Raw genomic sequence first — 14156 nt, forward strand, 5'->3', positions numbered from 1 at the left:
TTTTTTGGTTTTTTTAACTTTCTGTTGAATTACAATGTATATTAATAGAAGAAAAGTACACATAAGTGCAGAGTTCAATGAAATAGTCACTAACTGAACACACTTCTGTAACCAGCATTCAGATCAGCAAACACAGCCTGAACAGCACCTTGGAACCCGCTTTCTTTCTTCTGGTTCCTCCCCCTGGATCCCCGCTGTGCTGCCATCTCACCCAACTGTAGTTAAACCCAGCAGCCCCTATAGGTGCTGACACATGGCCGATGGGGTCACAGTCCTGCTGGGCCCTCGGGCTCACTCGGGAACTGGGGGCTCCCAGGTGCTCCTTCAACAGCTCAGTGCAGCATGCTCGGGGGTCAAGGCCGGCACCTATCCCTGGGGCCTCAGGCCTCCCTTCCTTCCCACAGCGGCCAAGATTGCCGGTCTCTACAATGACTCGGAGCCACCCCGGAAGACCATGCGCAGAGGGGTGCTGATGACCCTGCTGCAGCAGTCGGCCATGACCCTGCCCCTGTGGATCGGGAAGCCTGGTGACAAGTGAGGGCAGCAGCTGCGAGGGAGGGGCTGGTGCCCAGGGGCTGGGACTGACCCTTTGTTCCACTCACAGGCCCCCACCCCTCTGTGGGGCCATCCCTGCCTCAGGAGACTACGTGGCCAGACCTGGAGACAAGGTGGCTGCCCGGGTGAAGGCCGTGGATGGGGACGAGCAGTGGATCCTGGCCGAGGTGGTCAGTTACAGCCATGCCACCAACAAGTGAGTGACACCAACCCTGGGGCTGCTCTCTGGTCACCGAACTTGCCTGGGCTACGGGAGAAAAGCTCTGCAGAGGGTGCTCCCCAGAGGCTGGTTGTGCAGGGAGCACCAGGTCCTCCCCCATCCTCACTCCCCAACAGGTACTGCGCCCCTGGCTGCATCCAGCCTTTTCCTCCTTTTGTCTGCAGGTATGAGGTAGATGACATCGATGAAGAAGGCAAAGAGTGAGTGTCCAGGCCAGGGCAGGGCATGGAGCCTGGGGGCAGCCTAACAGCTGAGAAGGAGCATCCCCACCCGGCCACAGGTTGATATAAGCCCCTCTTCCCCCAGGAGACACACCCTGAGCCGGCGCCGTGTCATCCCGCTGCCCCAGTGGAAGGCCAACCCGGAGACGGACCCTGAGGCCTTGTTCCAGAAGGAGCAGCTCGTGCTGGCCCTGTATCCCCAGACTACCTGCTTCTACCGCGCCCTGATCCATGCGCCCCCACAGCGGGTAAAGCAGCCTCCAGGGGAGAGGCCATGGGTGATGTCAGGAACAGGCTGATCAGACAGACGAGGGGTCCTCTCCCCACTCCTTCCCTTTGTCCTCATCTCACAGGCTCCAAGCTGACAGGACCCACCAGCTGCCCTCCCTCTTCCACTCCAGCCCCAAAGGCCACCATCCCTTTGCCAGCCCTGGCAGCCTTGGCAAGCCCCGAGTCAGTGGCTTCCAGCCCCAGGAGAACCAGCTCCGAGATGGGAAGCTCCTGCCCTGAGCCCTGGGCTCCTACCGCCTTGTGCTCTTGGTGACATGGGACACAAGCCACCTGAGGCCAGGATCCCTGCCTGCCACCCTCTGGGTTGCCCTCAGTCCTCTCAACAAAGAGTCCTTGAAAGGCAGCAGACCCTCCAGCTATGACCCCACTAGGAAGGGAGTCAGCACCCCTACTCCTCCCTGCCTATTCCCTGCCTTGGGTCTCCAGCCACTGAGAAAAGAGCTCTGTAGCAGCAGGGACTGGGCCAAGACTTCTTGACCCCAGAGTGAAGGATGTTAGGAGTGGCTGAGAGTCCACGGCCCAGAGCCTCCTGTGGTCTAGGCTGGGGGAAGGGGGTGCCTGTCCTGGCCTGGGGGTCTCTGAGCAGCCCCTCCTGTCTGCCTGCCCCACAGCCCCAGGATGACTACTCGGTCCTGTTTGAAGACACCTCCTATGCAGATGGCTATTCCCCTCCCCTCAATGTGGCTCAGAGATACGTGGTGGCTTGTAAGGAACCCAAGAAAAAGTGATGCCGCCTGGCAGACTCGCCATCCCCCAACGACACAGGGCAGGACAGCAGAGGACGTGCTGGGATTAAACACATTCCCCCTCTACTCGTCTCCTGGGTTTTACTTCTCCAGACCCTCTCCCCTCTCCAAACAGGGCAAGTTGAGGAGCTGGAGCGGGGAGGTGGCCGTATTTGGCCCCAGTGGGCGATCACTCTTTCAGCTCAGGGTTTCTCTTGGCTTGGAATAGAGACTCTGCATTGAACACAAATCATACTTTATTCTGGAGCCTCTTGGTCAGGCTTGATTCGCACACTCCCTCTGCAGTGACTCCAGGAACCCCTCTCACAGCTCAGAGCGGAAGCTGAGGCTGCAGCCTGCCATCTTCTTCGCATAGTCCGCATCGAAGCGCTCATTCTGCGCCACGGTGAAGGTGGTCTTCCAGTCCCCAGCCATGCCTGGGGGAGGAAGGCAGGGAGCAAAGCTGGAGTCTCATCCCAGGGGAGGCCCCGAGTGCCTATGGGGAGGCTCCAGCTGCTGCTCCCACCTGCTCCAAACCCCCGTGCTGGCCGGCACCTACCTTTCCTCATGAAGGGGGAGATGCTGTGGTCCATGAACTCCCGGCGGACGGTGGTGTAGTTGGTCATAGGGTTCTTCTTCATCTCCTTGAACGACGTGTGCTCAACCATGAGGTCCACAGTCTCCTCTGGCAGGGAGCGCCCCACAAACTCCAGGATCTTTTGAATCTCCCTTTTGGGGTTCTGAGCAGCAGAGGGCTCCTCAGTGGAGGCTTGGATTGCTGATTCAGGAAAATAAAAGGGGTCCACTTCTCTAACCTCAGAGGGGAACTGGCCACTTCCACTTCAAAACCCATAGAGCCAGCTCCTCGACCCCTGGGACCCCAGTCCCTGGGGCAAAATGAATTGCTGTCTGCCCTGTGATCCCATCATGAGCTGGGCTTGGCTCCTATGGGTAAGGACTGGGATGGTCTTCTTCCGTGCCTGTGGCCCTGGGTGGCATAACCATTGGCAGGGAGAAGCAATTGGAATAGATAGCTGATCTGTGGCAAGGGGCCGTGGTTCAGGCGTGTAATTCCCAAGACTTTGGGAGGCTGAGGCAGGCGGATCACCTGAGCTCAGGAGATGGAGACCAACCTGGCCAACATGGCACAACACAAAAATTAGCCAGGCATGGTAGTGTGCATCTGTAATCTCAGCTACTCAGGAGGCTGAGGCAGGAGAATCACTTGAACCTGGGAGGGGGGGTTACACTGAGCTGAGATCACACCACTGCATGCCATCCTGGACAACAGAGCAAGACTTTGTCTCAAAAAAAAAAGTAGCTGATCCATGGCCACCCGTGCAGCTGACTCAGGCACAGGAGATGAGAGCTGTGCCCAGCCTGCTGCCACATGGGGCTGCAGTGGGGCCTGGGCCAGGGAGTCAAGATGGGGAATCCGGGCCTGCTGGAGGGGCCGCCCAGGGAGGGTGGCTGGGTGGCCTTGGCAGGTCCCTGTGAAGTGCCTGCCCCCAGGTGTCACGTGGAGGGAAGCATCAAAGGCGGTCTCACCTCCTTCATGTCTTCATAGAAGAGGTAGAGAACAGGGTGGGTGCGGCTCAGCTCCCACCACTCTTGCACGTGCTGGTACCAGGACCCATAGGACACTGGAGAAGCGGGCAGGGAGTGCCGACACAGGGTTGCTGTGCGTTGTAGCCACCACCCCTTAGCTCCACACCTTCCTTCCTCCCATCAAGCCCACCTTCTCCAGCCATGAACTTCTCCAGGAAGCTTTCCCAGGTCCCAGGGTGAGGGTACACTTTGGCCATGTGGTAGAAGTGGTAGTAGGAAACCGCCACATCCTTTGCGTTGCGGGCAACATAGACCACCTGCAGGGGCAGAAGACTCAACCCCAGCACCATCACCACACAGCCTGCCCCAGGCCAGCTCATCTCTTGGTTTGGCAAAGGAGGAAGCTGAGGCTTAGAGGCTGACTTGTTTGAGATCTCACGGCACAGGTAGGGCCAAGTCAGGATCTGAACCCTGCTCAAAAGCCAAAGTCCTGCCTGGTCCCTGAGACCATCATATTCTATAGTAATATAATCTGCATCAATGCGTCACACCCCGATCTGGAGCAAGGCATGCTCCACCAGGCATGTTCCCACCACCACCAAATTTTGTGGGCCTGTGAGGACCCACCCTCTACCTTTCTTAGGTCTACCCGGAAGAGTCTCATGTTTTTGGTCATCAGAGCAAAAGGCAGACAGTCCCCCCCGTGGAAGATGAGACAAGTCTGGAGGAAGTGAGGCGACTCTCCCAGAAGAACAGGACCAAAGCTGGGCTGAGCCGGGGCCTCCTTCCCTGGATTCACATGCCCCACACCTGGACCTTTGCTTTTTTCTTTTTGTTGTGGTTTTTTTTTTTTTTTGGGGGGGGGGACTCTAGGTCTCAAAAAAAAGAGAAAAGAGAAAAAAGACCTTGGGCTTTCTTTTTTCCTGTTGCCCAGGTTGGAGTGCACTGGAGTGAGAATAGCTCACTGCAACGTTGACCTCCCAGGCTCAAGCAATCCTCCAACCTTAGACTTTTGAGTAGCTGGGACTATAGCGCTATGCCACCATGCCCTGCTGATTATTTGCATCTTTTATAGAGATGGAGTCTCCCCATGTTTCCTGGGCTGGTCTGGAACTCCTGAGCTCAAGCGGTCCACCCATCTTGGCCTCCCAAAATGCTGGCATTACAGCGGTGAGCCACCCAGGTGGCAAACCTTTTAAAATATTTATTTGTTTTGTTTGAAACAATGTCTCGTTGTGTCTCCCAGGCTGGAGTGCAGTGGCACAATCTCGGCTCACTGCAACCACCGCCTCCCAGGTGCAAGCTATTCTCCTGCCTCAGCCTCCCGAGTAGCTGGGATTACTGGCGCCTGCCCCAACGCCTGGCTAATTTTTGTATTTTTAGTAGAGACGGGGTTTCTCCATGTTGGCCAGGCTGATCTCAAACTCCTAACCTTGGGTGATCTGCCCACCTCGACCTCCGAAAGTGCTGGTATTACAGGCGTGAGCCACAACAGGCCCAGCCCCCTGCCACCTGCCGCTTTTTTTTTTTTTTTTTTTTTTTTTTTGAGACAGAGTTTTGCTCTTGTTTCCCAGGCTGCAGTGCAATGGTGAGGTCTCGGCTGACTACAACCTCTGCCTCCCAGCTTCAAGCAATTCTCCTGCTTCAGCCTCCCAAGTAGCTGGGATTACAGATGCCTGCCACCATGCCCGGCTAATTTTTTTGTATTTTTAGTAGAGATGGGGTTTTGCCATGTTGGCCAGGCTGATCTCAAACTCCTAGTCTCAGGTGATCCACCTGCCTCAGCCTCTTCAAGTGCTGGAATTACAGGTGTGAGCCACCGCACTGGTGGGACACTCTTTCTATTCATCGTTTTTTGAGACAGTGTTTCTCTGTCACCCAGCCTGGAGTGCACTGGTGTGATCATAGCTCACTGTAGCCTTAAACTCCTAGGCTCAGATGATCCTCCCACCTCAGCCTCCTGAGTAGCTGGTATTACAGGCACACACCACTATGCACAGCTAAGTTTTTTTTTTGGAAGAGACTTATCTGGAACTTCTGGCTTCAAGGGATCTTCCCACCTCAGCCTCCCAAAGTACTGAGATTGCGGGTGTGAACCACTGTGCCCAGTCTCACCTTGACCTTCTGATCCAACAGAGTCTGGGGGAGCAGAGCCAGGGGCAGGTGTGTCTTCAGGAGTCGTGGGGCTGGTGTGTTTTTCAGAGTCTCCATCCCTGAGCAGTGGGTCAGGGAAGGTCTGGTGAGCTGAAGCCCCAGCCCTGTCTTCCTCCACTCCCCTTGCACCCAGGACACACACACCTGAGGGAATCCCTGGGACTTTGAACTCAAGGAAGGGCACCCGCATGAAGATGGGAGCTCGGTGACACTTTTCCAGGTCACCGCCCTGGTAGATCATGTCCAGAATCTGGCTCACCCAGGTGGTGCCTGGAGAGGGAGGGAGATGGGAGGTGAGCAGGCTGAGGTGAGCATGACCTCGCTGGCCAAGGTGGGGACTGCCACCTGGGAGAGGGTGGGTGGCCCTCCTCACCTACCGGACTTGGGGTAGGTGCTGATGAGCAGGTCATCAGGCCGGGCCTGGAAGCTCTGCAGGGGCCCCAGTGCCTCTGCAAAGTACTTGATGAGCGGGACCCCCTTCACGTACTCCAGTGGCGGGCGAGAGATGTCCTGGATCAGCTCCATGTTCCTGCGTCAGGGGCCAGAGCCAGGCCCGTTCCCTTACCACCATCACAACAGCAAGAAAGTGGAATTCTTGCTTTCAGGGAAGTCACTGAGGCCTAGGGAGGCTGAGTGACTTGCCCGCACTCACAAGGCCAGTCAGTGGCGGGGCTGGGGCTGAAAACCAGGTCGGGCTCTAATGTGGTGGTTCCCCAGCCTGGCCTCACCTTTCATTCACCTGCGGAGCTGTTCAAAATCCCAGGGCCTGGGCCATGGTGCAGACCAGTGAAAGCACCCTCGTGGCGCGGGGCCCAGATGTCAGGGTGTGTGAAGGTCTCCAGGAGAGTCCAGCTGCACTGAGGAACCTCTAGGACCTTCCTGTGCTGTCTTCCTGCCAGCCAGCGCCCTTTGTCTCACCATTTCCTGCTGGGACCCCCAGCCTCCACCCAGTAGGCTCCTCTCCCCGATGTTCCCCTCCTTGAGCCCCTCGGCCCCTCACATGTGGCAACTCCTAGGCTGGCCAGGCCTGTGATCCACTTGCCCGGCCACAGTCCATCTGGGCTCCAGGACAAACAGCCCATTGAGCAACTGAGCTGGTATTGGGGGCCAGAGCCTGATGTGGGAATGAGCAAAACTGTGATGACTCAGCAAAAGGAGGATCCTGGGCAGGGTGGCTCCCACCTGTAATCCCAGACCCTAGGGAGGCTGAGGCCAGAATTTGGAGACCAATCTGGGCAGCATTGGAAGACCCCATCTCTAAAAATCTTTTAAAAATATTTTTTAAAACTATCCAGGCAGGATGGTGAGGGTCTGTAGTCCTAGCTACTGAGGCAGGAGAATCACTTGAGCCCAGGAATTCAAGGCTGCAGTGGCCAGGATCCCACAGCACTCCAGCCTCGGTGACAGCAAGACCTGGCCTCCCCGGAAAAAAAAAAAAGGAAGGGAGGGGGATTCAGGCCGGCCGGGGTTGTCTGAAATGGGATATCCATGGGGAGAGGGCAGGGATAGCAGAGGCCTCGGCTTCTGGAATGTTGGAGCCACAAGCTGAGCAGGGTGAGGGCGTCCTGGGCCATTCCGGTGTGTCACTCACCTGAGCTCTTGGGAACCTGGCCTTGTGCCCTCCTCGCCCGCAGTGGCTGAGTGTGGGTGTTGTGTGGGGAATGCAGGGGTGTTGTCTGTGCTGAGGGTTTCTTAGGTCAGTGTGGGAGGGATCTGGAGCCGGGGCTGGACTTAGATTTGCTTCCGGAAGGAAGGGGTAGGGTTGGGGGTGGGGGAGCTTCTCTATTACCCTCCTTAGTTTGCCAGCTGGAGACAAGCTTAAAGTGATCTCCAAAGCCACGACTGGGTTTGGTGTGTAGAAAACAGAAGAATGAAAGGGGAAAGGGCCCAATGGTGGGTTTGTTTTTGTGGGTTTTTTTTTTTGAGCTGTCACTGGGCTCCTGACCTGCCCCTGAACTCCAAAAGACAAGCTTTCTCTAATTGACCCAGGCAAGAGAGGGGAGGGATTGGAGGAGAAAGATGGGATAGGCAGGCCCTGGAAAGGTCACCTACCTGCTGGCTCCAGGCCAGTCTTGAAGGTGCCAGGGGTCCTGGCCCAGTGCAACCCACAGGCCTCCAGCAGCCCATGCACTCCAGGCTCTGACCACAAGGCCAGTCTGGAGTGATGCGTGTGGGCAGAGTGAAGGGGCAGGGGTGGAGCAGAGCATGGATCCATAGAACAAGAAAGAACAAGGACACTGCAGTCCCATTGCCCTGGGAGCCAGCCCCAGCTTCATGGCTCCCTGGGGACCTCACAGAACATCGATAGAAGATCCTAGAAGAACCACAGCCCCTGGCAGGTACTTTTCTTTCCATGGGTTTGAAGGAGGCTCCACAGACAGAGGCCAGAGGAGGTTGAGGCTTGGAAGCCACAGGGCCCCGTGGAAGGAGTGCATCCCCCCACCCTCCTCGTTCTTTGTCCTCACTATTTAAAGTCCAGGGTCAAGCTGGGCACGAGACAGGTAAACAACCATCTGAGTAAAGGTGAGTCTCCCAAGCCTTCCCAGGGTTGCGTGAGCTCAGAGGCAAGCGGGGAAAACTGAGGCATGGGATTTCCAGGCAGAGGAGAGGCTGCTCCCCTGCTAGGGCCACAGGCCCCTCCTCCCTCCTCTGTGCCCCTGAGGAATCCCCATGACTGGCAGGTCCTCCGGCTACTAGCTCCACCCCTGCCCTCAGCAACCTTCAGGAGGCCCTCTTGACTGAGACTTTGTATTGCACTCTAGTGAAAACCAGCCGGACCAGCAGGGGGTGGCACAGAAAAGAGGCGAGAATGTGAGATTAATAGAGTGCTAGCAAGACAACAGAAAATCCCAGGCAGCAGTTTCACATGACCAGAAGAAGGAAACTTGAAATAGCTGCATGTGCCAAGGGCCAATAAGTCCCTGAAAAATAGGATGAGGACCAAGCTGGCTGCGACCAACCAGAAGCAACATGGCGCTGTATTTGATGTAGGTTTCACCTAGGATCTCACTGTACAATCAGTAACATATGAAACCGTACACCCACCAGTGCCAAGACGGCTCCAGGAACACCTGTATTTGGGTGTAAATTGTGGCACCACGGTCTTGAGAAATCTTTACCTTTTCCTGGAATCTTCATGAATATACCCCTCTTTAGTTGAAGAAGCCCATAAAGGTCAGCCCCACACCTTGTAGGGCATGAGACACTCTCTTGAGGACCCCCACGTTCCTCTTCTTCAGTGAGTCCCTTTACTCTGCAGGAAATCTGCCTACGTTCATGACTTTTGCACTTGTCCTTAAATTGTTTCTGGCTAAGGTGCCAAGAGCCTGGAGAAGGCCTGGCACGGTGGCTCACTCCTGTAATCCCAGCACTTTGGGAGGCCGAGGCAGGCAGACCACCTGAAGTCGGGAGTTTGAGACCAGCCTGACCAACATGGAGAAACCTTGTCTCTACTAAAAATAGAAAATTAGTCAAGCCTGGTGGCACACGCCTGTAATCCCAGCTACTTGGGAGGCTGAGGCAGGAGAATCGCTTGAACCCGGGAGGCGGAGGTTGCGGTGAGCCAAGATCACGCCATTGCACTCCAGCCTGGGCAACAAGAGTGAAACTCGGTCTCAAAAAAACAAAACAAAACAAAAAAAAGCGTGGAAACGGGCTGAGGTCGATGTCCCACCGGTCTTTGATGACCTCCCCTAGGCCACCAGTATCTGGAGGGGATTAGGGACACTGAGCTCCAGCAGGGCTATCCAGTGTGCCTGCAGAAACAAGGTTGGTCACAGGCAGCCCAGGACAGGGAGTGGGGTAGGGAGGCTGGGGCCAAAGCCCACTCACGTCTTCTAATTCCGAGTCTTCCACTATTTCCCCCGTGCTCATCCATCACAGCCAGATCAGGTCACCCAAAGCAGTGACGCCTCACAGCTACCAAGGCATGGGGCCAGAGAGAGAGACAGAGTCAGGCATCACAAGCCCCCTCCAGGCTCAGCCCTGAATACCAAGATCAGGACACGGCTGCCCCGGCCTGGATTGCACAACTGGGCACCCTCTTCCCAAAGCTGGACCAGGCTGGGGCCGGGGGACTGCACTCAGCTAGGGCATTGGCCCTCTAGGGGCAGAAGCTGCCCTGGTTCTTCCGGAAGGAACTCCTCTCACAGGCAGATCACGTGGGCTCTTAGCCAACAGCCAGGGTTGGGGCAACACAAGGGCCCCGCTTCATCCTGTCCCAGGCAGCAGGCAGGTAAGAGACAAGGAGGGAGAGGCAGCTGGCAGCAACCCCTCTATGCAGCAGGCACTGTTCCGGGCATTACACAGCTCCATCCCGTGAGGCAGAGGTGACTGTTATTTGCATCTTACAGATGAGGAAATGGAGGTGGGGGTTTAAAATCCTTGCCCCTGGGACTAAGCTGGTGCAGGTCCTGGGAGCATCAGCAGTGATTGATTGAGTCACAGCCTCACCACTGCAGCCAGACCTGAACTTCCTCACAGCTCAGCAACACCCAGCAGGTCACTGAATGTCCCCAGGGCAAGTCCTCTACTCACTCACTATTAGCGGGTGCTCAGTAGAAGGCACCCGTTTTCCATTATTTTATTAACTATTTCTTGGCTATCGTCTCTGTGCAGGACTTTGTTCTACAGCAGTGACAAGAGCTGCCCTCGGGCAATGTAGTGCAAAGGTTGGGGTGGGAGAGACTAACGAGAGTCATAAAGCACCTAGCCGGTGAGATAGTAAGTATTCAGGTAAAGAAGCAGACGGGGAAGTACACAAGAGGTGCAATTTTATTTTATATTTTTAGAGACAGTTTCTTGCTCTTTTGCCCAGGCTATAGTGCAGTGGAGCGATCAGAGCTCACTGCAGCCTCCAACTCCTGGGACCAAGCGATCCTCCCACCTCAGCCTCCCCCCGTAGCTGGGACTACAGGCATATGCCACCATGCCCGGCTTCTCAGAGCTGCAATTTTAAATCGGGAGATAGAGAAGACCTCCCTGTGGAGGTGGCAGGTTATCAAGATAGGTGTAGAGAAGAACCTTCCAGTCAAAGGGAAAAGGCAGGTCCTGCTGTGCTCAGGAATGGCCAGAAATACTATCATCCCCATCTTAGAGACGGGGACAGGGCCGCAAAAGTGTCAGGGCGTTTCCTGGCTCCTCAACAAACAGCTGGATCCGAAGTGGTCTGGGGGATGAGCCGCCCTGCCTGGGGCGGACCTCCCCTGGAGCTCAAGGGCTCGCAGGGCGCACAGGCCTCTTGGGCCCCGGGTCCGGCTCAGGCTCGGGCTTGGTGCCAGCAAAGGGACCTGCGCGGTGCCCTGGGGCCGGGGAGGCCCGAAGGCCATCGCCCGTGCGGCGCGGCGCATAGAGGTCCCGGCGGAGGTCGGGGTGCAGCGGGAGTAGGAGGCGCGCCTATGGAGGGGGTTCCAGGCCCACTCCAACAGCGGCAGGATACGGAGGAGTTAGGGCGGCTCCAGGCAGGGGGGCGGACCCCAAGCCCTTGCCCGCCTGCCGCCGCCTGGTCTCCTTCCTTACCCGAAGGGTTGCCACGGCGGGCGGGAAGCCGTGCACGACGAGCACTTTCTCCCTGGGGAGGAGAACGGGGGTGTCCCTGTGAGCCCTGCCGCGCCCAACCGCGGGTCCCCTCCAATTCCACCCGAGAGCGGGGTCCTCACTGCCGGCTTCAGCCTAGCCCCAGGCCCTGCCCCTAAATGAAGTCACGCCCCCTGAACCTGCCCACCTCAGGCCGCGCCTCCAGCCCAGGTACCCACCTGTCCCCCCTCCTCTCCCTCCTGCGCTCCATCCGACCCCAGCATGCCCACCAAGACCCCTACGCTGGCCCGCATCCTGGATCATCACCTCCGCCCCAGCCAGCTCCTCCCCGGAGTTCCACCGCCAAGATTCCCAGGGCACTGTCTCCCCGTCATGCTCCTCCTCTGTGACAGTCCCGTCCCCACCCTGGACTCCCCACCCATGTCACAGGCATGCCCCTCCCTCTCATCAGGCTTGTGCCCAGCGGGGTCCGCCTCCTCCAGGAAGCCTTCCTCCTGGCACAGAGACCCTTCCGGTCTCACCAGGAGTGCAATGGCCCGATTTGGCTCACTGCAACCTCTGCCGCTGCCCCCTGCCCCATCTTTCAAGCAATTCTCCCGCCTCAGCCTTTCGAGTAGCTGTAATTACAGGCACGTGCCACCATGCCCGACTAATTTTTGTATTTCTATTACAGACGGGGTTTCACCATGTTGGTCAGGCTGGTCTCGAACTCCTGACCTCAAGTGATCCAACCGCTTTGGCCTCCCAATGTGTTGGGTTTACAGGCTTGAGCCACCGCGCCAGGCCTGGGCCCTGCCTTTTGTGTGGTCCCCATTGTGCTGCTGGACCTGACAAGCAGGGCTGACAGTGAACCCCATATAAACGTGGCCCTGATGACGGGGGTTCAGGCCTTAGAGCAGGTAGATGCTGAAGAAGCGCCCCGGCCTAGCCGCGACTCCCGTGGAACTCTTTGAATTTTAGGAAATTCTCCTTAAACACACTTCTGGTTCAGCACCGACATCAAGAAGAGAGCCTCTCCAGCACCTGCAAACTCACTTTGTCCCTCCCTGGTTCTTCCCGCTGGGCGCCCACTATGCTGCGGTCTCGCCCATCTGTAGCTGAGCCCAGCAGCCCCTGTAGGACACCTGGCCGAACGGGTCACAGTCCTGCTGGGCTCACTCGGGAGATGGAGGCTCCCAGGGGCTCCTCCAACAGCCCCAGGGCTGCTCTCTGGTCACTGCACCTGCCTGGGCTGCCACTCTGCTTCTCATCTGCACAGCAGGAGAAAAACTCCACAGAGCGTGCTGTGGGCGGGGCCGGCTGTGCAGGGAGCACCGGGTCCTCGCCCTGCCCCTGTCCTCCACACTCCCCTACAGGGACTGTGCCCCTGGCTGCATCCTGCATTTTCCTCCTTTTGTCCACAGGTATGAGGTAGATGACATTGATGAAGAAGGCAAAGCGTGAGTGTCCAGGCCAGGGCAGGGCATGGAGCCTGGGGGCAGCCTACCAGCTGGGAAGGAGCATCCCCACCCGGCCACAGGTTGACACAAGCCCCTCTACCACCAGGAGACACACCGTGAGCTTGCGCCGGATCATCCCGCTGACCCGGTGGAAGGCCAACCCCGAGACAGACCCCGAGGCCTTGTTAGTCAAGGAGAAAACCATGTTCTCAGGATGCTGTGACCTTGGTGACAGCACGGCCAACACAGGAAGCCTCGGCATTCACCTGGTCACTGAGCTCATTCAAGCAAAGCGATCTCCAGTAGGGACTTTCCCTTTTGAGAACATGTGCAAAGGGTCAGCAAACTGACACTTTGCTCATTTTAATAGTAAAAACCATACCCCTGGGTGGAGATTTAAGATGCTAATGAGACATGAGTCCTAGGAGCAAGCATGTATAGCAAATGCGCATGTGCACCCAGAGGACCACCCAGAACATGCTTACTAGTGATGCCTCTTCCCACCCATTATGAAGAGTTGTGTGAGACTCCCATAAAGGGAGTTTTTCCTGCAGTAATCAACACCGTCCCAACCTGACAAGCAGTCCCTTCTGAACTCGCTCAAGGTGTATTGTCTATTCTGCAATTAACTTTCAATATACTGTTTTCTTTTGCAATAAGTTATTCTATGCTCCACTTCTTTTGCTGTGTGTCTCTTGTTTAAATCATTTTATTTATTATTATTATTATTATTATTATTATTATTATTATTATTATTATTATCTTAGATGGAGTCTCACTCTGTGGCCCAGGCTGGAGTGCAGTGGCACAATCTCGACTCACTGCAACCTCTGAGTCTTGGGTTCAAGCGATTCTCCTGCCTCAGCCTTCTGTGTAGCTGGGATGATAGGGCTCACCACCACGCCTGGCTAATTTTATATTTTTAGTAGAGACAGGGTTTCGTCATGTTGGCCAGGCTGGTCTTGAACTCTTGACATCAGGTAATCCACCCCTCTCAGCTTCCCAAAGTGCTGGGATTACAGGTGTGAGCCACTGCGCACCGCCTACTTAATTTATTTTAACCCAAGAGGACGAGAACCCAGGTATCACAGAGTGTCCCCAGACAGATTGACACAACCTGCCAGGAGACACACCATGAGCTGGCAGTCATGGCATCAGTGGAAGGCCAACCCCCAGATGGACCCCAAGGCCTTGTTCCAGAAGGAGCAGCTCATGTTGGCCCTGTAACCCCAGACCACCTGCTTCTACCGTGCCCTGATCCATGCGCCCCTACAGCGGGTAAAGCAGCCTCCAGGGGAGAGGTCATTGGTGACACCAGGAACAGGCTGATCAGAGAAGCTAGGGGTCCTCTTCCTGCTCTGTCCCCCTTGTCCTCATCTCCCGAGCTAATGGGACCTGCCAGCAGCCCTCCCTCTTCCACTCCAGCCCCAAAGGCTACCGTCCCCTTGCCAGCCCTGGCAGCCTTGGC

General features: G+C 56.6%; 2 protein-coding genes across 14 annotated transcripts in view, besides 4 other annotated features; one reads left to right on the forward strand and one right to left on the reverse strand.

The window, feature by feature from the left end:
* Nucleotides 1–2099, forward strand: part of SGF29 (SAGA complex associated factor 29) — a 37871-nt gene extending 35772 nt beyond the window's left edge. Inside the window, exons 6-10 of one of the 3 annotated variants that reach the window (XM_017022894.2) lie at nucleotides 405–534; nucleotides 605–751; nucleotides 940–975; nucleotides 1082–1244; nucleotides 1350–2099. In XM_017022894.2, the coding sequence (XP_016878383.1) occupies nucleotides 405–534; nucleotides 605–751; nucleotides 940–975; nucleotides 1082–1244; nucleotides 1350–1361 (488 nt within the window). In that variant the 3' untranslated portion in view covers nucleotides 1362–2099. Of the gene's footprint in view, nucleotides 1–404; nucleotides 535–604; nucleotides 752–939; nucleotides 981–1081; nucleotides 1245–1349 lie in introns of those variants that run through there. The other 2 variants (NM_138414.3, XR_001751821.2) reach the window with 2 other exon arrangements.
* On the reverse strand, nucleotides 2252–7359 carry SULT1A2 (sulfotransferase family 1A member 2). 11 transcript variants are annotated; one of them, NM_001400264.1, is made up of 9 exons: nucleotides 7306–7359; nucleotides 6443–6602; nucleotides 6092–6243; nucleotides 5859–5984; nucleotides 5676–5773; nucleotides 3751–3877; nucleotides 3561–3655; nucleotides 2572–2752; nucleotides 2252–2449 (listed from the first exon to the last, which is right to left on the reverse strand). In NM_001400264.1, the coding sequence occupies exons 3-9, from the start codon at nucleotides 6237–6239 to the stop codon at nucleotides 2337–2339; spliced, it is 888 nt and encodes a 295-aa protein (NP_001387193.1). In that variant the 5' UTR covers nucleotides 6240–6243; nucleotides 6443–6602; nucleotides 7306–7359; the 3' UTR covers nucleotides 2252–2336. The 11 variants fall into 11 exon arrangements, 10 of the variants coding, with proteins under 10 accessions (NP_001387193.1, NP_001387188.1, NP_001387187.1 ...); NM_001400259.1 differs by having other exon boundaries at nucleotides 6092–6274; NM_001400258.1 differs by having other exon boundaries at nucleotides 6443–6606.
* Nucleotides 7297–7591: an enhancer, noted in NCBI's record as "tiled region #4245; HepG2 Activating non-DNase unmatched - State 1:Tss, and K562 Activating DNase matched - State 5:Enh". NCBI's record gives its function as "activates a minimal TATA promoter and a strong SV40 promoter by Sharpr-MPRA in HepG2 and K562 cells {active_cell/tissue: HepG2 | K562}" and the evidence as "EXISTENCE:reporter gene assay evidence [ECO:0000049][PMID:27701403]".
* Nucleotides 9225–9759: an enhancer, noted in NCBI's record as "H3K4me1 hESC enhancer chr16:28610237-28610771 (GRCh37/hg19 assembly coordinates)". NCBI's record gives its function as "activates a minimal SCP1, AML or CMV promoter by ChIP-STARR-seq in primed H9 embryonic stem cells {active_cell/tissue: H9 hESC(primed)}" and the evidence as "EXISTENCE:reporter gene assay evidence [ECO:0000049][PMID:30033119]".
* Nucleotides 9760–10293: an enhancer, noted in NCBI's record as "H3K4me1 hESC enhancer chr16:28610772-28611305 (GRCh37/hg19 assembly coordinates)". NCBI's record gives its function as "activates a minimal SCP1, AML or CMV promoter by ChIP-STARR-seq in naive and primed H9 embryonic stem cells {active_cell/tissue: H9 hESC(naive and primed)}" and the evidence as "EXISTENCE:reporter gene assay evidence [ECO:0000049][PMID:30033119]".
* Nucleotides 11127–11641: an enhancer, noted in NCBI's record as "H3K27ac-H3K4me1 hESC enhancer chr16:28612139-28612653 (GRCh37/hg19 assembly coordinates)". NCBI's record gives its function as "activates a minimal SCP1, AML or CMV promoter by ChIP-STARR-seq in naive H9 embryonic stem cells {active_cell/tissue: H9 hESC(naive)}" and the evidence as "EXISTENCE:reporter gene assay evidence [ECO:0000049][PMID:30033119]".

Source organism: Homo sapiens, chromosome 16 (genome assembly GCF_000001405.40).
Source record: "Homo sapiens chromosome 16, GRCh38.p14 Primary Assembly".
Taxonomy (NCBI): domain Eukaryota; kingdom Metazoa; phylum Chordata; class Mammalia; order Primates; family Hominidae; genus Homo; species Homo sapiens.